Raw genomic sequence first — 25,503 nt, 5'->3', positions numbered from 1 at the left:
AGAATTTGTGCACATAATAAAATGGCTATTGTTTTTATGACACTAAGTTTGGGTTGGTTTGTCACATAGCATAGTAACCAGAACAAACAAACACAGAGAAAGGTGTACAATCCTTAAGTATATAGCTTAATACATTTTCACAAAGTGAACACACCCATATAACCAAGCACTCAGATCAAGAAACAGAACATCACCAGTGCCTCAGGAGCCCCACTCTGCCCCTTTCAGTCAATGTTTTTCCAAGAATAATCACTATCCTGAATTCTAATATCACAGTTTAGTTTTACCTGTTTTTGAATTTATATAAACTAAGCATTAGTTTTTAATTCTTCCTCTTATTTTCCTCTTATATCCACCCAATCATCAAACCATGGTGATCTACCTTCTAAAAATCCACATGTCCACTTCTCTGCATTTTTGCTACTCTAGTTTGGGCCTTATCAGCTTGTTTGGTCTTTTGCAAAGTTACTGTATAACTATCAATCTATGTATAAAATTCTTTATAGCTATCATCCCAAAAATAAAATCTAAATTCCTTAACATGGTTTATAAAGTTCTCCAGTCCATGTCTTCAGCCTCATCTCACAATGTTTCCTCACATGTTCCCTAGGCTCCCGACACACTGTACTGATTGCAGTTCTTACAGCACCTCCCACATGCTGTCCATTCTTCCTTTCCCTGGTATATGCTGATCCTTTGGTCTGAAACTTCTATTTCTTTTTAAATACTTTTTATTTGAACTAATTTTAGGCTTACAGAAAAGTTGCAAAAATAATACAGAGTTCTCATAAATTCCTTATCCATCTTCCCCTAACGTTATGATCTTACATAACTATAGCACAATGATAAAAACCAGGTATTTAACATTGGCAAAATACTTTTCTTTTTTTCTTTTCTTTTTTTTTTTTTGAGACGGAGTCTCGCCCTGTCGCCCAGGCTGGAATGCAGTGGTGCGATCTCGGCTAACTGCAACCTCCGCCTCCCGGGTTCAAGCGATTCTCCTGCCCCAGCCTCCCAAGCAGCTGGGATTACAGGCGCGCGCCACTACGCCCAGTTAATTTTTGTATTTGTAGTAGGGACGGGGTTTCACTATGTTGGTCAGGCTGGTCTCGAACTCTTGACCTCGTGATCCGCCCGCCTCGGCCTCTCAAAGTGCTGGGATTACAGGCGTGAGCCACCGCGCCCAGCCGGTAAAGTACTTTTAAAACTACATGCCTTATCTGAAACTTCTATTTTTCTATTTTAGTTTATCTTACTCTTGCTTGTTTCCCAAGACTCGGCTTAGACACCGTCACCTCCCGGAAGTCTTCCCTAAGCTCCTTCACCGTACCTTCCTCTCATCCTCTATACATGCAAATCATGCTAAGTGCTGCTCCTAGGTGGCCCCCGTAGTAATGTACTTATTACACTACGCTGCAATTCTCTGAGGTCCTGGAGAGCAGAGGCCGGTTCTAATTGATCCGGAATCCAGCTGGGCATGCAGGCACTTATTCCGTGTTCCTTGACTAAGTGCTCAAGGGGTGACGGAGCAGCACAGCACAGCGGTGTTGGGGGAGCCAGGGGCAGTCACCGCTGGGGTACTAAAGTAGAGACCAAGCTATGCACGACGATGGAGCAAAATGAACTAGAGTGCCCGCAGTCAGCCCTCTCTAGGGCTCCACTTTTCCGCAGGCCCGGCCCACCTACTGATTCCTCCTCTCTTTTCGTGATAGCCTCGCCCCTCCACACCCACTCTTCCACTCCAAGCGTCTCCTGGAATCCATGGCCCCACCCCTTTCTCGCTCGTCTTTCTTCCGGCTCCATCTCTCCCAAGCCCCGCCCTTCTGATCTTTCCCTGCCTGTAAAAATCGCCTCTCCTTAGGTCCCGCCTTCTGCCCTCTGGTTCCACCTTTCCTTCCCGGGCTCCGCCTCCGCCCTGCCGGCCTCCACCTTCCCAGAGGCCTTCGCCTATGACACGCCGGAGTCCTTCTGAGGGGCGGGGTTTACGTACGAAGGGACGGAACCAAGAGGAGAGGCGGTGCTCCTCCCTCGGATAGCCGTCGGCGACCCCGCCCTTGCGTTTAGCCGTTGCCAGGAAACAAGCGTCCTTGCTCGGGTTTGGTCCGGCTCAGCCAATGAGCTGGCACGCCATTGCCCAGTCGTGCGACGCCGGGCGGTTGCGTGTGGTGCGCGGGGGCGCGGGCTGCGTGTGGCGCGGGGCGGGGCGCGGCTGGTGCGCTTGAGAAGCGATGGCGGCGGCCTGAACTCACCTAACACCGCAGCAGCAACCGGGCCCGGCCAGGTTCGGCGTTCCGTGAGTGAACGGTACGCATGGGCCAGAGGGCCTGGAGAGTCGTTTGTGGGGATGAGAGACTGGGAAAAGACGGTGACGGGTTTGGTTACTGTACTGGTTGTGAGGGGTTGGCAGGTGGTGAGGGTCCGGGTGTGAGTGTCTAAGATAGGGAAGGAGGGTGAGAGCTTACAGGTGAGTGGACAAATGAGGGGCTGTGAGAGGCTGGGTGCTTTCGGAGGTGCCAAGTTGAAGGGACTCCTGAACGCGGTTTACTAGGGCTGGGGCTACTGAGGGCTGGTGTGAAGGATACCCTGGGACTAGAGTGAGGGGTAAGGCCTGCGCGAGGAGAGAGAGAGTAAAAGGCGCAGGTGGGAGCCTGCGGGGTGGCGGCAAATTGGTGAGGGAGTTGAAGGCGAGGCATGGGAGGAGGGAATTAGGGCTTGTGAGACTTGGATAAAGGTGAGAGGTTGGTTCTGAGGCCTCCTTCGATGGACTGCCCTGTCCAGTGAGAGCAATAGTTTTAGACAAAGTAGGGCAGCTTAGATGGAAGTGTTGTGCACCTGACTCCTCTGCTCCCATGGACTTTCCATATTCTGGAGGACGAGAAAATGAAGGTGTCATAGGCAATAGTACTATGGTAATGAAAGTCATATTTGAGGCTCAGACTTCAACAGAGTAATCACAGAAACTTCAGTTCCTTCGAGTTCCTTCTCTGGACTGCATAGTTGAAGATGGGCCCTCTCATGAAGGGTTTTGCGCTGTGACAGCTTGTGTTTTCTCTCTACTTGCTTCTGGACAACCTTATTCCACTGTTGCTCCTTACCTGTGCTTAACTGTGGGTCTTTGATTGGATTGACCATATTCAGTTGCTAATTCTACTTTTATGGAGGTCATATGGTTTGCCCTATACAGTACTATATTTAGGATCCCAAACAGGATGGCCTTACTCTCCTTTCTTACAGTTGAATTTTTTAAAAAGCTAGTTTATATTATATTTAAAATGTGTGTTTGATGAGTTTTGACATGTGTACACATCTGTGAAATCATCATCAGTCTCAAGATACTGAACATTTTAGCCACCTGAAAATTTATCTCTTCCTCTCCACACCCTGTAGTTGGGTTCATCTTACTAGCATTCTTTTAGGTCCTCTTCTCCCCACCAACCCAAATGCACGTGAAATTCTGGAAAGTTGGTTTGGCATTCAGTGATAATGGCCACTTTCACACTACTAAATTTTCCTCTCTACTGCTAGTCAGCCATGGGGTTGGGACATCCTATTCTTTCCAGACTCAGAAAGAGTTAAGTCTTTCCTTAACTCTACAGTGGACAGGGAGAGACCATTTCCTGAGAATTAGACAGCCTCAGTCCCCATTCTTTTCCAGAGTCTTAGCTTCAGAGCCAACTCCTATATCCTGTGGTATATTCTCATTGCTTCTTTCTGGAGTCCAGACAGGCCTCCATATTGGTAGAACACTTGGCAACTTGCCCAGTCAGTCAGAACTTACAGTTCAGAGTTTAGAGTAGTGGTTCCTAAACACTGGACCAAGGACCCTGTACATGATAAAATTATCATCTATCCAAGATGGAGGGAGAGAAAGACAGTATGGTTATTCATGAAGATAAATTTATTCTCAGAGATTATCATTCCTATTCTTTTGGTGTTGCAGTGCTCTTTCGTTGATGCAGTAATGGTAACAGTAGATGGTGGGTTAAAAAAAAAAAGATCTAATTTACCCAAATAAAAAGTGTCAACCCAATTTTTAATTTTAAAAATTATTTCTATAGCTTTATGAACTTCAGAAATTTAAAGTGATGATGGTGTGGCTGTTGTATTAGGTTGAGGAAGCATACATTTATACAATGATTCTGTATAACTTAACATCTGAACAGCATTCATGCTTTACATAGGGATTTCAAATTTTATTATACTGATTTATATAGATACCTTGTAGACAAAGACAGGAACTTTCATTTTATAGATGAGAAATTAAATTCAGTAGCCAGAGATCATACAGGGATACAGTGGCAAGGCTGAACCCAGAATTTTGTCTCAGAGTGAGAGAGACTTTGGGAAAGAAGATTTATAATAGACACTGAAGGTGATGTGGGAGGATTTTTTAATGATTTGTAATTGTTCTATTTCCAAAAGACAGAAAAGGGACTGTGAGAGTGACATAGGGATGAAGGTTATGTTTAATGCTGTCGCAGTGACATTGGAACAGGTATATATAATACCTGGATCACATCTTGATAGTGGATCATATCATGATAGTGATAGGATGAATCAAATCAAATATTAGATGGTTCTTAGGGACTGTCTAAATCCTTGTTATAATGGAGAAAGCACTGGATTTGGTAAGCTTATTGTTTGCTATCCCAAACTCTGTTGAAATAGTAGTGCATTAAGTATAATGGATTTTGATTTGTATCATATAGTGAGTGGTAGTTCTGAGAGGATGAAACATACATGAGGATGATGATGTAGAGATAGAAACATGTTTAGGGTACTGTGTTAATCATTTATTCCATATCTGCTCTGTGCCAGGCACTCTACTAAGTGCTAGGAGAATGAATTCGTTTATTCATTCAACAAATACTTCTTCAACATATAGTCTGTGCTTGTGATGCTCACATTTTATGGGATAACAACATGAATAAAACATGGTCATCCGAGCTCTCAAGGGATTTTCAGTCTAGTAGGGAGAGAGAGACACATGAAAACATAATTTCAATTTAGAGAGATAATGTGAAATGTGAAAATATATCATAATAGGCTGGGCGTAGTGGCTCACGCCTAGCATTTTGGGAGGCTGAGGCAGGCAGATCGCTTGACTTCAGGAGTTTGAGACCAACCTGGGCAACATTTTGAAACCCTGCCTCTACCAAAACAACAACAACAACGACAATAAAACCACCACCAAAAAAACCCACCAAAAATTAGCCAGGTGTGGTTGCACATACTTGTGGTCCTGGCTACTCCGGAGGCTGAGGTGGGAGGATTGCTTGAGCCTGGGAGGCAGAGGTTGCAGTGAGATGAGGTCACACCACTGCACTTCAGCCTGGGTGACAGAGGCCCCACCTCAAGAAAAAAAAAAAAAAAAAAAAGAAAATATATCATAATGAGTTGATTACTCCTTTGTATCTAGTGTCATCTTTCCCTGTATTCCAAGTATACATGTTTATTGATCTGTGTATCTCCACAAGTATCTCAAAATTAACATGTCCAAAACAGAATTCATAGTCTTTGCCCCAAAAGCCCGACTTTGCCCTCATATCCCCTATCTCACTCCAGGCAAGGACTACATTGTCATCTTTCATACTTTCTGCTCTTTTACTCCCTGCATTCAATCATTTGCTAGAATCTTAATACATTTCGCTCTGTGTTATCTCTCTTCTCTATATCTCCATTGCTACATCTTCACTGTCAAAGCTTTAGTTTAGCTCCCCCTCACCTCATATGATTTTTTTAAAACAATTTTTTGTCTTAAAACTTGCTATTTTCTGGTCCATCCCTAGAATGATTTTTCTGAAAATACACATCTGATCTCCGAACTCCTTGGCTTAAAAACTTTTGGCTCTTTGTGTCCTGTAGGACAACATCCAAATTTCTTAATATGGCATCATTTAGCTTCAGCTTACCTCTCCAGTCTCGTGTGCCACTCCCTAGTCTGTATTCTAGTTTGAATAAATTGTTCACAGTTCCCTAAAACCATGCTGCTTTTTTGAGCCTTGAAATCTTTGTAATAGCTGCTTCCTCTACTAGGAATGCCTTTTCTTCTCTGCCCAGTGAACTTTCCTTATCCTTTAGGATCTAGTTCAGTTTCACCTCCTTTTTGACATCTCTGTCAAGGTAGAGATAACTGTGTGTGACATGAGGATTCATTGCTGTAAAGAGGAGTCACTGTAGAATAGAGGTTCACTTTTGTGAATTGGATGGACCCCGCTGGAGTCAGATGAGGAGATCCCTGCAAGAAGCAGAAGTGATATTGCGGGGAGGGAAGGGAATGAGTTGGGACCATACCCTGACATCCCATTTGTCTGAGGGATGGAAAAGCAGGGAAGAAATGTGTAAGCTGAGCTCTAGTATAAATTCCTAGTAGGTGGTGTTTTTGGTTGGTTGGTTTTTCCCTTTGTATTTCTATGAGATTTTAATCAGGTCATTCAACTTCCAGTATTTAGGGTAACAGCCCATTCATCCTCCTTATGTCAGTAATTAGTCTTCTTGCCTAGGAAGAGCCACTGTAAGGAGAGAGACACCACAGAATTTTACTGACCTGTTCTTGGAAGATCATTTTGGTCTCTCTGTCCAATGTAGGTGTTGCAGGTATATCCCTTCCCCCAGCTCCCTCCTCTTTGCCTCTCCCAGGGCAAAGGTTCATAAGTGAGGCTGAGCCACTTCCTGCCCTGTATCTGCAGTTCCGAGGTTGGTTGTCACCCTTGCTGTGTGTGGCTGTAAGGCTGTATTTTGGGCTATAAGGTGAGTGCCTGATCTTGGCCATTTTGGGTCTGAGAGATCAGCTCGTTCCCCTTTTTACTCTGTGGCTGAGCCTGAAGGTAAATCTGGAGAGTGGCAGGTTCTGCTTTTTTTTTTTTTTTTTGGACTTTGCTATGGGAGGAAAGGACACCATGAGAGGGTGGTGATTTTAACCTTTTCTTTGTCTTGTTCTGAACATTGCAGAGAGTCTAATTAGGTGATAGGAATACCAAACTATAGCTTTCTTTTATGCTTTTGTTGTATGTGAACAGGGCCCAGTTTAAGTATTGGCTTTTGGAATCTGAGATGCTGATTCCAACATCTTCTCTTGAGGTCTTTGAAATGGGATTGTAGAACTGCGGTGGGCAGGTGGGTGAGGAAGGGTCCTGGAGGCTAATCTTCCTTGGTTCCATGAGCAGTACCCTTTGTTGGTCAAGTGGTGGAGCAATAATGGGCACCTCAGGTATACTGCAAGGTAGGAGCAGTTAATGTTTGAAATTAAATTCCAGAAGCTGGAGGCAGTTTAGTTTTGGACATGTTAAGACCTTACTGAGACTGAATGCTTGGCCTTTCTTCAGCTGACTGAGGTATGCATGGGAGGCGATAAGGATGGACACATCAGAGCAGGTTATATCTCTTTTCTCAGTCAGAGATATGGGCACTTGGGTCAAATAGGATCAGGAGAAGGAAGCAGGAAAGGGACATGTAATTTACAGAGTACCTTCTTTATGGTTGGAATGCTACATAGGTTGTTATGTGACTTAATTTTTAAAACTAGCAATACTTATTTCATCAGGAATTTATAGATGAGGAAGCTGAGGCTCAGATATGTGAAATGATTTATTTAAAGTCACACAGCTGGGGAATGGTGGACTGGGATTCAAACCATTGAGGGACTCCAGAGTTCAGACTTTACCTACTACTCTGTATTATTCTTGTTTGATTGTCTTTGTTTTCAGTCTTTAAAATGAGATACGATTGAGAAAAGTGTTCCATAAACATTAATACTCTTTTTTCAATGAGGCTCTTTGCAGGTGGCAGATAGCTCAAGCTGGGTTTGGGAAGAGTTTAATAAAGGGACCATATTTACAAAGATATGGATAGGGTTTAAGGAAACCAACAAGGGATGGTACAGTATCCCAGGGCTAATAACTGTAAGAGGGGCTAGCCATAGGGGAGAGTGCTTACCACTTTTCTCAACCGTTGACTTTATCTTTTCCAGTCCATGCCTAATTGGGACCATAAATAGCTGGGTGGATAAGTACTTGTCCAGTGCATCCCTGCTGATGGCTACTAGTCTTTGTTGCTGCGTTAATGATTTATTAAGAAACCATGTATGAAAGACTTAGCAGTGCTTCTGTGGCTTTGCCACCTTCTCACCCATTTTCTTCTCTCTCACCCCCATTCTTCTAGTGAGTGAGGGAGGGAAGGTGGGGTGGGGTTGGTGGTGGATTGGATGTTAGCTTCTGTCTTTCTTCATGTTCAGATTTGCCTGAAGTAGCATCCATCCTTTATTTATTACTCATTTTTTCCTTTTTCAGAGAAGGTGTCTTACCTATTTTTCTGAGTATACCCGATTTTAATGCCATTTATCTCTATCTTATTTATTTATAACTTGTCACTTTCTTCAGACTACTGCTCTCACTTGACAGACACCCTTGAGCCTCCCCATCCTACAGCAAAATCAAAAGGCTTTTTCTTGACTCCCCTTACCACAACTTCTTTAAGCTATTGCCCTATTTTTTTTTTTGAGACAGAGTTTCACTCTTGTTGCCCAGGCTAGAGTGCAATGGTGCGATCTTGGCTCACCGCAACCTCTGCCTCCTGGGTTCAAGCGATTCTCCTGCCTTAGCCTCTTGAGTAGCTGGGATTACAGGTGTGCACCACCACACCCAGCTAATTTTGTATTTTTTAAAATAGAGATGGGGTTTCACCGTGTTGGTCAGGCTGGTCTCAAACTCCTGACCTCAAGTGATCTACCTGCCTTGGCCTCCCAAAGTGCTGGGATTACAGGCATGAGCCACCACGCCTGGCCTACCCTATTTTTATCCTTTCTCATTTTACTGAATTTCCTGAAAGTACATCTTACATTTCGATTCCTATTCTTTAACTAACTAATTTGACTAAGTTTGTAAAAAACTTGATTGCACCATTTTTAGTCTTCATTCTACTTGATCTTTCTATAGAACTATACACTATGGGCAACCTCCAGTTTCTTGAAACTTCCTTTCTTTGATGTCTAGATCATCGTTATTTCTTGGGTTTCTCCTTTTATTTCTGGCTCCCTTCAAAGTCTTCTTTAAAGACTCCTCCTTTTTAACTTTCCTACGTCCTGGTTTTCCCCATGATTTTACCCTTACCTCCTTTCATGATCTGCTGTTCTCCTTGGATAATTCCATCTACTTCCATAGCTTCATAGTTGTCTATAAGCTGCTAACTCTTGAATTTGTATCTTTTGTCTTGATTTTATTCATTATCTCAAGTATGGTATTCCTACTTGCTTTCTGGACATCATGAATATCCTGTAGATGTCTCAAAACTTAACATGTTCAAAACTGTACTCAACCTCTTTTCTAAAACACAATTCCCCTTCTTATGTGTTTCTAGTCTGTTAATGGCTTTATCTTTTACTGAATCTCCTATACTTCCTATGAGAGTCTTCTCTCATCCCCCATTTGTTTGCCAGGTCTTGTTGCTTTTACTTTGCGGTTAATTTAAATCTGGAGGCAGATATTCTGCATTTGCATTTTAGTCCTGTCACTAGCTGGGTAATGTTGGGCAATTTATTTAACCTCTCTGGGCCTTGATTTCCTCCTATGTAAAATGTGGATAATAATACTTAAATGGGTTTTTATGAGGTTTAAGTTAGCTACTTCGTGTAGTGCTGGAATGGAGCCTGGCATGTAGTAAATATATGTTTGCTGTAATACTTATTAATTCAGCATTCAATTTCAAAAGCATATTTGAGTTCAGGCTGTATGTTTGCACTGGGATTTCAAAGAAAAATGAATGCTATTTTTATTTTGTCAAGGAACTTGCTATTGATTGGCAGAGGTATTACAGGTATAAATAATTTCAGTATTGCATGGAACATATTAAGATAGAGGCGAATCTCAGATTTATCTTTCCTAATATTTCTCTTAGTTCATGACATTACTTTCTTATTTTCAAATGGACTATTGAAACAGCTTCTTATAAATTGTCCACTGCAATCCATCTCTCTCTGCTCCATCTTATTCTGTTACCTGATGTATTTTTGAAGGACAATCTGATCTTACCATTTTCTTGTTTAAAAACCTCCTTTGTTTCTAGGGTGTCAGTAGACAAAAGCTAAACTCCTTAGCATAATATTTAGCAATACTTATAACCGTCACCCACATTTACCCTTCAACTAATGTTGTGCCTCTCTTCTCTGAATAGTCTGTGATTAAGGCACACTAAATTTGCAACTGTTCTTTGAATTTTTCGTGTTCTTTCACGGTACCATAGTTTTGTACGTACTGTTTTTAATATGAAGAAAACCTTTCCCTCTGCTCTCTGCTTAATTAGTATCTCATTATTAAAGATCTAAGTTCAATATTAACTCTGTGGAACCCTCTAATAGCCCAGGCAGAGTTAGTTGTTTTCCTTCATGCCCCCATGACACTTTTTATAAATACTTCTATTTACAATATTTGTTGGATTTATGTTTATGCTACCTCAACTGTTTTTATCCATCTTTGTTATTTCCAGTGCTTACTTAGAACAGTGCCCAGTATTTTATCCATATGGATATACATTGAGTTAATGAGTAAGCCCTACCTGCTCTTTAGGACTGGGCCCCTCCCTTTATAAGACTCACCTGTTCTATAGAAATTTTGCTTAAACATAGTGGCTACCTTCCTTTAGTTGTGAGCTGGAAATTGTGTGAGAGAGTATCTGGGTGAAGGGAGATATTGTTAATATAACCTTAGGGCAAAATGTGGGGCTGGTGCCAGGTCTCTGGATTCCTTCGGCCTTTGTTGAGTATAAAGAGGAAGGACAACTGAACCACCCCTTTCCTTTCAAGGTTTTATGCTTGTGAGAGACAGTACTGATGAGGGTGTGGTGGCTGTAAAGGAGAAGGAACTATGGTTCCTTCTCCAATAGCTACTTGGTACTTTTTTCCTTTTTCTTGTGAGGATGTCTTACCATTTTCTTGGGAGCGAGTTTGGGTTGTGTCTGGCAGGAGTGGAGATGGGAATGTGTCTGTCTTCCTTACTGGAAAGGAAACAGCTCTTCTTTATTGGTTGGCTCTGAATTCTTCCTCTTAAGAGTATTCAGTCAGTTAAGGGTCTTATTTGCTCATCTCCCATAGGTCACTGGGTAGGTTTCTAGGGAAGCACCTGTGATAGACAGAAATTTCTTCTTCAGTAGTCCCAGAGGGCTAGAGTCAGATCAAGGCTGGATTTCTTGATTGATTGTTCATTCATTCATTCATTCACTCACTTATTTGCTTCAGCATTAATACGTTCAACGAATATTTATTGAGTCCCTAGGCCCTGGGGATACAACAGACACAATAAGACAAACCCTGCCCTCAAAGAAGCTACCTAATGTGGGGAAGATAGACAAATAAATAAATAGTTTCAGGTAGTGAAAACTGCCAAGAAGAAAGGATTAGGAAGCTAGAGAGTGAAGGTGAGAAGATGTGCTATTTAGATAGAATTGTTAGGCAGGGCCTATCTGGGGAGATGATTTGAAACAAACAAACAAACAAAACGAGCAATGACAGCAATGTGAAAAGCAGGAGAAGGACATTCTAGTCTAGGCAGAGGGAACAAAAAGTATTCAAGAAGGCCTGTGTCACTAAAGTGTGAGTGAGAAGGAGAATGGTAGGAAGTTATACAGATTAGATTATGTAGGCTCCTGTAGGCCAAGATAAGGAATTTGAACTATTACAGTGTGTTAGGAAATTATTGGAGAGTATTCAGCAGAGGACAGGTCATATAATTTAGGTTTTAAAAATATCACTCTGGTTGTTTTGATAACTCTTAGGAGGATAGTAAAGGAATCATGGAGACCAGATTGGAAGCTACTGCAATAGTGAGACATATTTTGAAGGTAGAGATGATAGAGTTTGCTGATGAACTGGATATTGGAAGTAAGGAAAAGAAAAAACAAGGATAATGTACACATTTTCAGCTTGAGCATTTAGGTTAATTTTGGTATCATTTTCTTTTGAGATGGAGAAAGTTGAAGGAGTAACAGGTTTGGTGGTAGAAATCTGAGTTCTGTTTTAGACATGTCAGTTGCTGATTGTGTGTATGTGTGTATGTATATATAGGTGTGTGGAGTTTTCAGTGGAGTGGTGGTTCTGAGTTCTGGAAAGTGAGCTTCTATTTATCCCTTCCATTATCTCTTCTCTGAATTAGATTTAGAAATCTGGACTGGCCAGTGACCTCTGGGCTTGCCATTCCAGCCTGGTATAACCTCTGGCTCCATGGGCAGCTACTGGCTCCTACAGACCGGATGAAGCAGACTGGAGACACAAGTGGAGAAAACCTCCAGCTGGCAAATCCTCAGAGTGTAGGCCTCTGGCTGCCAGTCCTGCCCAGCCTGCCTCATGGAGAGGATGAATTGGCTGAGCAGACTGGCCTCCCGGGGCCCTGGGCACCGTATACCTCAAGGGGCCAATCTCCAAACCCCAGTCATGGCTGATCCCGAGACCTGCCTCATGGTCTTCAAGAATCACTGGTCCCAGGTAGGAGACTGTATGGCAAAGGGCCTTGTCTGCTGATCACCTGAGTTCTCCCAGCCTTCTATATTCTCCTCATCCCATTTAGTAACCTTATCAATTTAGATTCCTTCCATCTTCTGTCCTTTTTCCCTAGGTGGTGCGAATCCTGGAGCGGCAAGGCCCTCGGGCAGCTCCTGGGGGTGCAGACGATCTCAGTGCTGTGCGCAACCACACTTACCAGATGTTGACACTGCTGGCAGAGGACCGTGCAGTTCCCTCGGCCCCCACAGGCCCTGGGCCCCTGCTGGAGTTTGCTCTGCACGAGGATCTGCTGACCCGTGTGTTGACATGGCAGCTGCAATGGGATGAGCTTGGGGATGGGGTCGAGGAACGGCGGGCTGAGCAACTGAAACTATTTGAAATGCTAGTGAGCGAAGCTCGCCAGCCACTGTTGCGGCATGGTCCAGTTCGTGAGGCTCTGCTCACCCTGCTGGATGCCTGTGGCCGCCCTGTGCCCAGTAGCCCAGCACTGGATGAAGGCTTGGTGCTACTTCTCAGCCAGCTGTGTGTTTGTGTGGCCCAGGAGCCTTCATTGCTCGAGTTCTTCCTGCAGCCACCTCCTGAGCCTGGAGCCGCTCCCCGTCTTCTTCTCTTTTCTCGCCTTGTCCCTTTTGTGCATCGAGAGGGCACCCTGGGCCAGCAGGCCCGTGATGCCCTACTTCTTCTCATGGCTTTGTCAGCTGGGAGCCCCACTGTGGGCCGCTACATCGCGGATCACTCTTACTTCTGCCCGGTTAGCACCCCCTGGCTTGGAGGGTAGGGTGTGGTGTGTAGATACTGAACAGCACCTTCCTATCCAGGAGATGGGGAGAGGCTATGTTCCAGGGCCCGTTCCCCTAGGAAACAGTTCCTGGATTTGAAAGCAGCCCCCTGGAGTTGTAGTGGGGATGAATCATGGGCTTAGATGGATAGGGCAGATACTAAGTCTCTTTGTAGGCCTGTGAATTCTAGGTGAGTTTCAGGCACATTGGGTAGGCAAATGCTTGCTTTGGTAATAGCTTATACCCCTATTCCCATCAAAACTCTGGATTACTAGCTCCCCTGTTCCAGTTTTTATATTTTATAAATGTATTTTATATATGAGCTTTTGGTAACTTCTCATAGGTGCTGGCCACAGGGCTCAGTGCCCTGTACTCATCACTGCCTCGAAAGATTGAGGTTCCAGGGGATGATTGGCACTGTCTGCGACGGGAAGACTGGCTGGGAGTGCCAGCCCTTGCACTCTTCATGAGTTCCCTGGAGTTCTGCAATGCAGTAATTCAGGTAGGACTGAAAGTCTGGCCCTTGGTCATTTTTGGGAGATTAGGTAGGAGGGGGTATATTCCCTGGAGTTCTGTCATTTTTCCATCTTGGAAGTAGGATGCCTCTCTGTAGTGTACTATTCTACTCCCTTCCAGGCAGTGGTCTCCTCATAACCCTCCCCCTTCTCTCTGGCACTCCTACAGGTGGCTCACCCCCTGGTGCAGAAGCAGTTGGTTGATTATATCCATAATGGGTTCCTGGTGCCTGTCATGGGTCCTGCCTTGCACAAGGTGAGAGTCATGGGTGGCAAGGCATATAAGGGGCTAAGCTGCAGTGGTAACCTCAGTGACAGGACTAACGTAGGAGGCGGTGGGTAGAGTACTCCTCCCTTTTGCCCTGTCTGCTCCTGATTTCTCTTAGAATCCAGGGAAAATGGCCCTGTATGTGCAGGGAAGCTGTGCATTTCCAGACTTTCCCTTCTTTTTGTGCAGACCTCTGTGGAGGAGATGATCGCCAGTACCGCCTATCTGGAACTTTTCCTACGGAGTATCTCAGAGCCTGCTTTGCTCCGTACCTTCCTGCGATTCCTGTTGTTGCACCGGCATGACACCCACACCATCCTCGACACCCTCGTTGCTCGTATTGGCAGTAACTCCCGGGTATGGCCCTTACCCCTGTCCTAGCTTACCTGGATGACCCATCTTCTTTCTCTGACCTTTGTTCTGGGAGGGTATTCCTGCCCTTCTTTTGCCTGTATCTCCAGCAGTCACCTCAAAATTAAGTGGCATTAACTTTCCAGCATTAAACTTTTAACCATTTTGGGTACAGATTTTAATCTACTCCCCTGCTTTTATGATAGATGAATCTAGAACACAGTCACCTTTTCTGGATGACTTTGGCTGTTCATCATGACTATAGGTTTTGCTACTGTGCAGTGTTCGTAATGTAGTATTGGCCTGAGTTCTCTTAAACTGTTTATCACTCTGTGGCCTGCTTTGGGTGACTTGAGAGCACTTTAGGTTGTGTGTCTGCTTTGGTAGGTGATCCAGGTGCTACTGATATGCTTGCCTTCTTTCTCCTTTGGATTTGCTGCTTTTGAACTATAGCTTGGAGCACTCATCCACCCACCTATCTACTTTCGGTCCTTCCTCCTAAACATTTTTACTGAATGTTCACTGTGTGCCATACTGTTTGCTGGTGCTGGGGATACAGTGATAAATAAGGTAGACATTGTTGCTGACTTCATGGAGCTTACTTTGTAGAGAAGACAGACAAGCAAACACATTAATAAGTTGTGGTCAGGGTTATGAAAAAACTAGAGTGCTTAGAAATAATAGGGTGGCCAAGGAAGACCTCTCTGAAGAGATGACATTGAACTGAGACATAGAGATTATAAAGGAGTTAACTTATTGATCAAGTAGAAGAACAGGAAAGCAAGGGGAACAGCATGCAAAGGACATCAAATGGGGGAAGAGCTTAACATGTTTGAGGAAATGAAAGACTAGAGGTGTAGTGAGCAAGGGGAAGAAGGGAATGAGATAAAAATAGAGGGGTAAAATTCAGATCATGCATGACCTGGAAGACCATGGCAAGAAGTTTGGATATTAACAAATAGAAATATATATAACATGGGAGTGGGTGGTTTCCAAGTTATAAAGACTTAAGCCCCTCTAGGAGAATAAAGCATTAATTTTGCCATGGACTTCATGGCATTTATTTTGCCTCTGGGACCATTTTTGCTTCCTTTTTTTATTATAAGTTAAAGTTTCCTGGATCCATGTGTTTAAAATAGAAGTTCTTTCATCACTAAGAGCTCTGGAAAACTTCTAGATAATGAGATACTAGATAGTAGAGTTCCAGGTCAGTTTCCTGGATAGCTGTGTTTTGTATAGGTGCAGTTTCTGAAGCTAAGTTAGGGTGTATAAGAAATATTCCAGACTGACTGATTAAACCAGTGTTTCTAAACCAAGTGTATACTTTAGAAACGTCTGTGAATCTTTGAAGATGACAACTAACAACTACAACAGATTCTGAGCTCTACCTCAGATTTCGTGAATCTTTGGGAGTAGGCTCAGGACATGTGTATTTTTAAAATTTTCCAAAAAGTAATCATGATAGATGCCTTGGGTTAAGATTTATTGGAACCAATAGGGAATAGGTATTAAAGCTTTAATTTTACAAAGATACCAAAAGTATTTTTTTTCCCTCATTATGCTGAAATTAGGCCATGATTGGCCTCATATTGTCCTGTTCATGTTTAGAGACAGTTGATTTTCTTTTTGAGGTTTTATCTGTTGTTTCTTCCTTTTGTCTTATCCTAACTTTGATTCTTACTCACTATCTTTCATTTTTTTAGTAGTTGTTTCTATTAGTCTCCCATTTGGTCCCCTGGTCTTAGGAGCCTTACATGTTCTTGGGATGTTTCTTCTTGGTTCCTGGTTCTTGGAGGAACAGATCTCTTCTAATTTCAGGATGCCCGTGTTAAACATGTAGATGCTTTCCTTTCCACTGTGGTCCTTTCAAGCTTGATTCTTTGGCTTGACTTTGTAACGTATATAGCCTGCCTTGTGTGCCTTGAAGTGACTAATTTTGGCTAACCAGCCTGTGTTAATTCCGTATTGCTGTCATAACAGATTATCAAACCTAATGCTTAAAACAGATTTATTGTCTTACAGTTTTGTAGGTCATATGTATGACCTGGATCTCGCCAGGCTAAAATCAAAATTTTGGGGGGTGGGGTCTGTGTTCCTTTCAGGAGGCCGTAGGACAGGATCCATTTCCTTATTTCTATTGGCAGAATTAATTTTCTAGCAGTTGTGGCATTGAGATCTCTGTTTTCTTGCTGGTTGACAACTGAAGAACATTCTCAGCCTGTAGAGCAACCAGATTCCTTGGCTCATGGCCCCCCTTCATCCATAGATAATAGATATCTATGGATCTCTATTATCTGTGGATATCTAGGATAATCTCATCTAGGATACTCACATCTGCGAAGTCGTCTCTGCCACGTGAGGTGAAATATTTTTAGGGTCTGGAGATTAGGATGTGAGCATCTTTGAGGGACCACTTTTCTACCCACTTACTACTTTTCAGTGAGTCTGAATTTTTTCATTGCTAGCTAAAGTGGTCATTTAGGATAGCCTCCTGAACATCCATGCTATTCAAAATGTGAACTGCTGTCACGTGTTTTTCTTGCTGTGTGGTTGACTTTTAATTCTCCCGTGGTCATGTAGCAAATAATGAATGCCTAAACTGTTCAGGTAGTGCCCTAGACCAAGACCCATTCGTTGTCTTCAGGGAGCTCAAGGTGTCTGACACACTTGCTGTAAGGGAAGTATAGAGAAAGTGCTAGGAAGATTCAGAGAAGTGAGGGAAAGGTTACATATGTGTTTTCTTTACCTAGTCAGAGATGAACCAACCTTCTTCCTTTTCTAAAATAAAAGATTTCCTCTAATCTTGACCCACCTACTTTTTCCTTTTCCTGTCAGCTGCGCTTGAGTTGTTCTTTATCCTGCCTTCTGAGAGATACACTAGTGTTAGAGAGGTGACTCAGACTTCATGTTTGCAGCCCCACCTACTTCCCAGTTGGGAATCTTCCCGGTTCCCTCTAGTTTCTTATTGGTAGGCATTCAGTTACTGTATTGCTACAGTCCCTTCTGGCAGGCATTCACTTAATTACCATGTTTCTGTTGTCTCCTGTTAGTCATTCACTCAATCACAGTATTTCTTAGTCTCTTCTCATGGATTTTCGTTCAAGTGTTGCTGGAGTCTCTGCTGACCAGGTATATATAGCTAGAGAGTCTATAGAAGTCCATTGGGTCTGAGATGCTTCATTTGTATGAATAGCAAAGTCTTGCTCGCAAAGATCGTGTGATCATCTAGCTAATACTTGAATGACTTATGTGCCAGGCATGGTACATGGTCCTCTAGGAGTTCCTCTAGGAGTGGTTGGTTGGGCCAACTTGGGGCTGGTGGGGTTCCCGTTTGGTGAATGGCTTGGAGGGCAGAGAGCTCTTATGGTGACTCCCTCCCTCCCCTCCACCCCCCCAGCTCTGCATGGTCTCTCTGAGTCTCTTCAGGACCCTCCTGAACCTCAGCTGTGAGGATGTCCTGCTGCAGCTGGTTCTCAGGTATCTGTTGGGGCAGGGCTGAGGGATGGCTGACCCTGAAGCCTCAGAGTCTTATGCATTGCTGGGGCAATGGGCTATATAGGGGTTACTCATGAGTTTCCACTTGGAGCCTGGCTTAACCATGCAGTTTCATTGGCCTGATGTTCCTCTAGGCCCTGTCCTTCCTTCCTGATCTACCCTGTGTCCCCTTTCTGATGTCTTTCTCAGGTATCTTGTTCCATGTAACCACGTTATGCTGAGCCAGAAGCCGGCTGTTCGTGATGTGGACCTATATGGACGAGCAGCTGACAAGTTTCTCTCCCTAATCCCACGCTGTTGTCGGCACCACGCCCCCAGCCCACCTCGTCCAGAGCATGCCTCATGGGCACGAGGTGGGCCTAGCAGAGAGACAGGGAGAAGGGAGGACATCACGGGTATGGCCTAGGTTCTGGGGGAGCGTAGCAAGGAGGGGCTGGGGTGAAGGGGAGGAAGGTGTCCATGAATGATAGTCTGTCTTTGGGGAGGTTGATGAGGGTGTCTTGCAGGGAGGACCCTTAACACTCACCAAAGAAAATTAGAGTGGGACTTCTGGGCAAAGCTATTCTTGTTCTTCTCTCTAGTCGTGTACTCTTCCTGTTTCCATTGTGTCTTCAGTGGTGATGGTGGTGAGTGGGGGTGGTGGATGAGGATAAGGTTAATTAGGAGGTTGGAGAGTTAGCTGTCTGAATAGATTCCATGTTTCTGCCTCCCCATTGTCTTCTTTCTTAGTCTCCCGAGGTGTCTTATCTCTCCTTCTGAACCTCTGTCTCCTTGATTTCTCTTATATTTTTTCCCTTTGCAGGTCCTGGAAGCCCAAGTGTGGACTCCTCTTCTGTGACGACAGTACCCCGGCCCTCCACACCATCTCGTCTGGCTCTCTTCCTGCGGCAGCAGAGCCTGGGTGGCTCTGAGTCTCCAGGCCCAGCCCCTTGCTCACCAGGGCTTTCTGCATCCCCCGCCTCCAGCCCTGGCCGACGGCCTACCCCTGCAGAGGAGCCTGGAGAGCTGGAAGACAATTACCTGGAGTATCTGCGTGAGGCACGTCGTGGTGTGGACCGCTGTGTCCGAGCCTGCCGTACCTGGTCTGCCCCCTATGATGGCGAGCGGCCCTCTCCTGAGCCCAGTCCTTTTGGCTCCCGGACTAAGAAACGCAGCCTACTGCCTGAGGAGGACAGGAACAACGTGGGGGAAGGGGAGGAGGAAGAGCTGGGGAGGAGGGGGCGGGCTGGGGGTGCAGGGGAGGGCCCTGGTCACCTGCCCCCTCCCCAGCTCAATGGAGTGCCAGGATCATGGCCTGAGGGGGCCAAGAAGGTTCGTCTGGTGCCAAAGGAGGGAGCTGGGGAACTGCTAGAGGGCATCTCCGAGGGCATGGCAGGACTAGAGGGCTTTGGGCAGGAGCTCCGGGAGCTAGAGGTGGCATTGAGCAATGGGGGAACTGGCTCAGAGTCCCCCTTAGAACCTCCACTGCCCCTTGAGGAGGAGGAGGCCTACGAGAGCTTCACCTGTCCCCCTGAGCCCCCTGGCCCCTTCCTCAGCAGCCCTTTGCGGACTCTCAACCAGCTGCCAAGCCAGCCCTTCACTGGTAAGCTACTTAGCCTAGGCCTTCCCTTCTGTGTACTCTTTGCATGTTCTCGACATGTTTGTGCTGGTTTCTTGGACCTCTTGGCCATGTCATTTCTGTGTACTTGCCTAGCCCCTCATCCATCCTGCTTGCATCACTTCCAGATACGTGTCATGTCATACTTGTGTCCCTGTGTCTGTCTGTACGTCTTCCATGCTTGTGCTGGTTTGAGTATTGACTTACATCTGAGCCTTGTATGTATGTCCTATGTGCATGTTCCTCCTCTTTCCCTAGTCTGGCCATTTCCTGCGATTTGTAATTAGGATATTCTGTGTTTGATGTTTCCTGGTGAATCACAGCAATATTTCTGAACCATATTGAAGACGTATGTGCTGTCCTGTATGGAGAGGCACCTAAACACTCTCTATGCCATTCCGTCCAGTTTATCTGTCTGGGTCTTGGGTTTTCTGTCAGCTCTCCTGGGGCCTAAGGTTAACCTTCTGGTATTTTTCTCCCTACTCAGCTCCTTCCTCCCCACCTCTTCAAAGAAGGACTTGATTTCAAGTTTTTCCTGTTCGCTTTCCTTGTACCTTCTTGGTTGCTGTGACTGTCTGCTAGCACTAAGACTGTCTTAAGCAGATAGAGTGCAATTTCTTTGAAGGCAAATGACAAAGCGTGGCCCTGAGCTCCCTGACTGAGTTCATTTGGACTCTCAAGGATGCCCTGGAGCTAGACTCGATCTGAGTGGTTGGACTAACTCCTCTTTGTTTTTGTATGAGAGCCAGCTTACCCCGCCATTCTAAACCTCAGGCCAGGAAAACCAAAAAACAAAAAAACCAACCAAACAAAAAACAAACCCACCTCTGAGAAGTAGTAGCTAAGGCTAAGATCACAGGCCTTGGATTAGGCATACCTTACATTAGCCTCCCATCTCTGCCATAGATGCATATAAATCATTTACTACAATTATGGCACATTGTGAGAACTCAGCAAGTGGTAGCTTTTCACTAGGATCTCTGGGTACATAGCAGATTTAAGTTGACTAAGGCAAACACTCATCTTCCAGTTGTTCATAGTCAGATTGTCATGCCTTGATAAGTTCATGTCCTGACTGGGCCTGGGAGATGCTGGCCATCCTGCTCATACAGCACCAGGGCTTCTGCCATGGAGTTGTGCCAATTCCCTCTTCTTGCCTCCTACAGAAAATCTATCTTTCCATTTATTTAGCCTCTGCTCTGTTCCTTTCAGCTCAGTACCACTAGGTGATAGCGTGCAGGTTTTACCACAGTCTTGAAGTATTAATTGAAGCTTTTGTCTTTTTTTCCTTTGGTAAACTTATCTGAGCTTTTCAATTTTTTTTTTCCAAGAAACTTCCAGGAAATGAAAGGAACAGGACAAAATTATGGGGCGTCTTAGGACTCTGTTAAGCTAGAGTTGTTTTGAAGCTAATGCTAGACATGTGCACCTGGAGTGAAAAATGTTTTAGCATCTTTTTCAGGATTCACTCCCTCCTGCCCTCCATCATTCTCCTGTCTCAATGCATAGTACAGTTCTTAGATATATACTCCCTTTCCCCAAAAAAATCCCTAATCAGAAGGACTGTGATGGTTATAGAGGCCTACTGCTGGTGATCTGGCTTAGCTGAGGTCAGTTTTCCCAGTGGATAATGCTGATCCTTTCCCTTCCTTCTCTCCCACCAAAGAGTCTGTCCTCAGTCAGTTTCTCTGCCCCTGCACTAAGCTATCCTTTTACTACATATTCTGTTCCACCGTCTTGGTTCCCAGCTTCTGAAAGACAAAACTGATGTCTTCTCTGGTCCTCCAAATATTTTTTTCCCTAACTTTAAATTGGCTCACATAGTTACTTTGTCTTTGCAACACCATCTTCTAGCTTTCTTTCTGAGCAGGTTTAGTGTTATCCTCCGTTTTTTGTGGAACCTAATTCTTTTTGGACCTAATTACTTTCTCAACCTATTTGTTCTTCTGTTGTGCCTCTTGGGTGAATCTTTTATAAAAACAATATGTAATTGTAGCTTATGGTTATAACTGAACACTTAAAATTTGCCAGATCTGAGGCTAAATGCTTTATATTGATAACTCTTTGATCCTCTTCATCACCTTATGAGGTAGGTATATTTTCCTATTTTACGAACTAGGAAACTAAGGCTTGGACAATTTTGACCTGTCCAAACTAGTAAAGGGCAAAGCCAGTGAAACCAGATCTTTCAGAGTCCAGAGCCTAAGATCTGGCTTGTCAGCTTGAATGTGTGTAAAGCTGGCATCTGGAATCTTGTGGGTCCATATGGTGTCTGCCATCTTATTTCCTCCAGAATAGGTGGCCACGGGATATTTAAACATACCCAGAGGCTGACATACAAATACTTTTCATCTGGTGGGGGTCTCTTGTTTTGGGGAGGAATGCGTGCGATGTGCATTGTGTTCAGGCTTTGTATCCTTGTGCCCACCTCCCCCCCAACCCAGGCCCCTTCATGGCTGTGCTCTTTGCCAAACTCGAGAACATGCTGCAGAACTCCGTCTATGTCAACTTCCTGCTGACGGGGCTGGTGGCCCAGCTGGCCTGTCACCCCCAGCCCCTGCTCCGCTCTTTCCTGCTCAACACCAACATGGTCTTCCAGCCCAGTGTCAAGTCCCTGCTGCAGGTGTGCGATGCATGCATGCATGGGTGCGTCCAGGCTCCGTGGTGGGCCAGGCCCGCAGCTGGAGTGACCCTGGGTGGGCTGGGAACAGGCCCAGTGGGACTAGAAAGGACTGTATCAGTCTAGAGCTGCTCAGAAATGTCACGAAGGTGTGCTTCATAGGTGCTGGGCTCTGTGAAGAATAAGATTGAGAACTTTGCGGCTTCCCAGGAGGACTTCCCAGCACTGCTGTCCAAAGCCAAGAAGTACCTCATTGCCCGTGGCAAGTTGGACTGGGCTGAGGGCCCTGCAGCAGGACCTGCCCCACGCCGTTCTGATCCCCTAGGTGAGGCCTATCCCACCACACCCGTACCTGCCCTCCCTAGATAGCCTATTAACCCAGGTTAATTGAGCTCTTATTAAGAGTGAAATGTTGTGCCAGGACCTAGTGAGTTGTAGAAAATTGAGTCTTCATGTTTGTTCTCAGGCTTCTGGTCAGGGGACAGAACATAGTTCTATCTATTAAGAGCCAGATCAGCAGTTCTAGCAAAAACTACTCTAGAATTTGGGGACAAGAAAGAGGACAGAGTAGTCTCTAGGTTGCGATATTATTACAGCTTAGTAAAGGACATGACATTTGACATGGGCCTTGAGAGATGGGTAGGACTTAGGTAGGCAAAGGAGTGGGGAATCTTTTTTTTTTTTTTTTTTTTTTTTTTTTTCAGGAGAGGTCCTGGACTGTTTAGTTGGAGTAGGGGATTTAAAAGTTGGTGGAATAATTGGCAGTAAGGCTGGAGAGATTTGGCTGGAGCTGAATTTCTCAGAGTAGAAGTTGGGATGTTTTAGGCAGTGAAAAACCACTGGAAGTTCTAAATCTGGAAGTGGAGAGATTAGTATGTTAGCTCAGATGCAGTCAAGCTAGGAGAAAAGAGTCAGGAAGCATCAGGAGGCTTCTGCTATAATGTAGATGTTACCAGGGAGGCTTGAATTAGAATAGTGGACGTGGAAGGGAAGCATTTAATGAGGCAGAAATGAGAAGGAAGTGTTGGTGGAGTTTGGTGAGTGGTATAAGGAAGGAGGAAGAATTAAATATCGTTATGAAGTTTTAAATCTAGACTTTTCGCTTAACAGGTATCTTGAACATTTGCAATGTGTGCCGGGCATTGTCTTTAGTACAGGGAATTCAGGGAGGTACAAGATGTAATTTCTGCCTTCAAAGAATGTACAATCTGGAGAGTGACTAGAGGAACGTAATACCAGAAGGAGCAAGGTCCTAAAGGTGTTGGGAGTAATGGGATTGAGAGCAATAGAAAAAGATTAACTTTGGACAGGAAAAGGCTTTTTGTTTTTCTCCCTTTGAGGAAAATGAGGAGAGAGCAAGGAGGAATTGACATGTGCCAATGTAGTTGTGAAGTGTAGAGGAGTAAGGGATTTCACATCATTCATTATTTACTAATCGAAGTAGAAGGCAAAATGATATGCTGAAAGCAGAGATGGAGGCTTAATGAGAAAAGTGTATGGGTTGGGAAGAGAGTACCATAAAAGTTACTGCACAGCTGTGAAGTCTCAGGTAAAGTTCTTTTGCATGGTTTCTTCATGGTCTAGTATTGTGAATATTTCTTCCTTCTACAGTTCTGGTGCTGGGGTCACTTTAGAGGGGCCAGGTAGACAAGGTAGACAAGACACAGTCTAGGCCCTTAAGTTCACAGGTTAGTGTATGAGGTAGAAGACATAGAAATAAATTAAGTATGTTGAGTTAAGGGAAGTAAAATTGGGAGTCAGTGGAAGACAAATCAGAGGAGGCTTCCTAGAGAAGTGGGGATAGTAAAATTTCACGTAGAATGATGAAAAAAGTGGAGAAAAGAAAATTTAGGCAGAGGGAGCTACAGGCGCATGAAAAGTGCCTGAAGGGTTCCAAGATGATAGATGTGGATGCAAAAGCAAGGTGGGGTGTGGAGAGTTTGAAAAGAAATTGTAGGAGGAGTGTGAGCCTGATTGTGAAGGGCTCTGAATGCCAAATTTAATAGCTCGGTATGGTATTTCTGTAGCCAGTATTAGATGTAGGAAATGGGAATTGTTATTATGATCTAGGCCTTTATAGTAGATATGGATCCAGACCCAGAAATCTAGGCAGAATGTTAGAGGCAAGAGGACGTTGTTTTGAATGGCTCACTTGAGCCTAAGCTGACTTGAAATTGGCCGCAACCAGTGGGAGAGAGGCTTTGGTGCAGGACAGGGACTGGTGAATGGTGAAGTGGTGAATGGTGAAGAGCATATTTTGGAGGGACAGTAGAGCATGACAGAAGTGAAATTGTCACTGAACTATAATTGCATATATAGCCCCTGTGGATATTGTAGGAGCAGAGGATGTGGGTTGGGTGTTATAGATAGGCTGGGGAAGAGGGAAGTGGTTGACTAGTTCGGAAGGGTGATGGGAAGCATGAAATCAGGGCATGCTATAGACAGAGGAGAAATAGCTTGGTGGTGGTAGATTAGTGATTGGAAATAGGAGAATTCGTCAGGGTGAGAGGGCATGGAGAAGGAATGGATCTTAACTGGGAATGAAGTGGCTAAAGTGTTGATTGATTAAGACTGAGAAGGATGGTTGGCTGGGTGGGGAGGCTGGATAGAGGGAAAAAGGCTGGGCAGGCAGTATTTTTGGTGTTGGAGTGAGAAAGAACTCCTCACTCTACTCCTCAGAGTCAACTTCAGGGATGGGACAGGAAATGGTACCTGAGGTTCATTTCTGGTCCATTTTGTCCTTTTTTCCATTTCCTCAGAACCCTAAAGGAGAAGTCCAAGAACCTAGGGGGTGGGGGAATCTCCCCTCTCAGTCCAAGGGAGGTTCCCTGATCCCAGCACCTTCATGATACCCCTGTTTATTCCCAGTGAAGAGCCGGAGGCCATCCTTGGGGGAGTTACTCCTGCGGCATGCACACAGTCCAACCAGGGCCCGGCAGGCGGCACAATTGGTCCTTCAGCCTGGGCGAGACGGAGCAGGACTTGGCCTAAGTGGGGGCTCCCCTGGGGCTTCAACTCCAGTTCTACTCACCCGGGGCGGGGCCCCTGAACGCCAAGGTGAGGCTCTTCGAGTCAAGAATGCTGTCTACTGTGCAGTCATTTTCCCTGAATTTCTCAAGGAGTTGGCTGCCATCTCCCAGGCTCATGCCGTCACCTCGCCTTTCTTGTTGGAGACTTCAGAGGAAGGATCTGGCCCTCTCATCTCAGGCTGTGGGCCCCTCAATCCTTAACTTTCTTCCATGGACAATCAGGGCCATGGGTGGCCCGGGCTGGGGCTAGGGCACAGGCTCCTTTTTATGTTTGGAGGCAGTGGCAAAAGGACTTTTTAATTTATTTCAGATGAATGTTTTATGGAGAACTTGTTGCAATATGTATAAAAGGGAAATCTCTA

The 25,503-nt window shown here is 44.8% G+C and overlaps 2 protein-coding genes across 14 annotated transcripts in view, besides 4 other annotated features; one reads left to right on the top strand and one right to left on the bottom strand.

Moving 5' to 3' along the window:
* Positions 1 to 2,055, bottom strand: part of CNGA4 (cyclic nucleotide gated channel subunit alpha 4) — a 10,184-nt gene extending 8,129 nt beyond the window's left edge. For 2 of the 3 annotated variants that reach the window (XM_017017219.2, XM_024448353.2), the window contains exon 1: positions 1,889 to 2,055. The gene's annotated coding sequence lies outside the window, so the exon portion shown is untranslated. The remainder of the gene's footprint in view (positions 1 to 1,888) is intronic. The other variant, XM_017017218.3, reaches the window with a different exon arrangement.
* Positions 1,275 to 1,965: an enhancer, noted in NCBI's record as "H3K27ac-H3K4me1 hESC enhancer chr11:6256113-6256803 (GRCh37/hg19 assembly coordinates)". NCBI's record gives its function as "activates a minimal SCP1, AML or CMV promoter by ChIP-STARR-seq in primed H9 embryonic stem cells {active_cell/tissue: H9 hESC(primed)}" and the evidence as "EXISTENCE:reporter gene assay evidence [ECO:0000049][PMID:30033119]".
* Positions 1,798 to 1,877: an enhancer, noted in NCBI's record as "active region_4335". NCBI's record gives its function as "activates an Ori minimal core promoter by ATAC-STARR-seq in GM12878 lymphoblastoid cells {active_cell/tissue: GM12878}" and the evidence as "EXISTENCE:reporter gene assay evidence [ECO:0000049][PMID:35858748]".
* Positions 2,008 to 2,307: a silencer, noted in NCBI's record as "silent region_3098". NCBI's record gives its function as "represses an Ori minimal core promoter by ATAC-STARR-seq in GM12878 lymphoblastoid cells {active_cell/tissue: GM12878}" and the evidence as "EXISTENCE:reporter gene assay evidence [ECO:0000049][PMID:35858748]".
* FHIP1B (FHF complex subunit HOOK interacting protein 1B) lies at positions 2,212 to 25,503 on the top strand. Of its 11 annotated transcripts, none has more exons than XM_047427687.1 (12): positions 2,212 to 2,304; positions 12,188 to 12,469; positions 12,600 to 13,238; positions 13,610 to 13,768; positions 13,951 to 14,037; positions 14,239 to 14,406; positions 17,798 to 17,877; positions 18,085 to 18,248; positions 18,698 to 19,477; positions 21,937 to 22,115; positions 22,275 to 22,437; positions 24,981 to 25,503. In XM_047427687.1, exons 2-12 carry the CDS (start codon positions 12,332 to 12,334, stop codon positions 25,340 to 25,342), a joined length of 2,919 nt encoding a protein of 972 aa, XP_047283643.1. In that variant the 5' UTR covers positions 2,212 to 2,304; positions 12,188 to 12,331; the 3' UTR covers positions 25,343 to 25,503. The 11 variants fall into 11 exon arrangements, with proteins under 11 accessions (XP_047283643.1, XP_006718406.1, NP_001092264.1 ...); XM_006718343.4 differs by having other exon boundaries at positions 18,085 to 18,290; NM_001098794.2 differs by having other exon boundaries at positions 12,141 to 12,469.
* Positions 2,488 to 2,537: a silencer, noted in NCBI's record as "silent region_3097". NCBI's record gives its function as "represses an Ori minimal core promoter by ATAC-STARR-seq in GM12878 lymphoblastoid cells {active_cell/tissue: GM12878}" and the evidence as "EXISTENCE:reporter gene assay evidence [ECO:0000049][PMID:35858748]".

The sequence above is a fragment of the Homo sapiens genome, chromosome 11, assembly GCF_000001405.40.
Source record: "Homo sapiens chromosome 11, GRCh38.p14 Primary Assembly".
Taxonomy (NCBI): domain Eukaryota; kingdom Metazoa; phylum Chordata; class Mammalia; order Primates; family Hominidae; genus Homo; species Homo sapiens.
The sequence above is the reverse complement of the archived record's forward strand: the minus strand, read 5'-3'. Positions and strand labels throughout refer to the sequence as shown.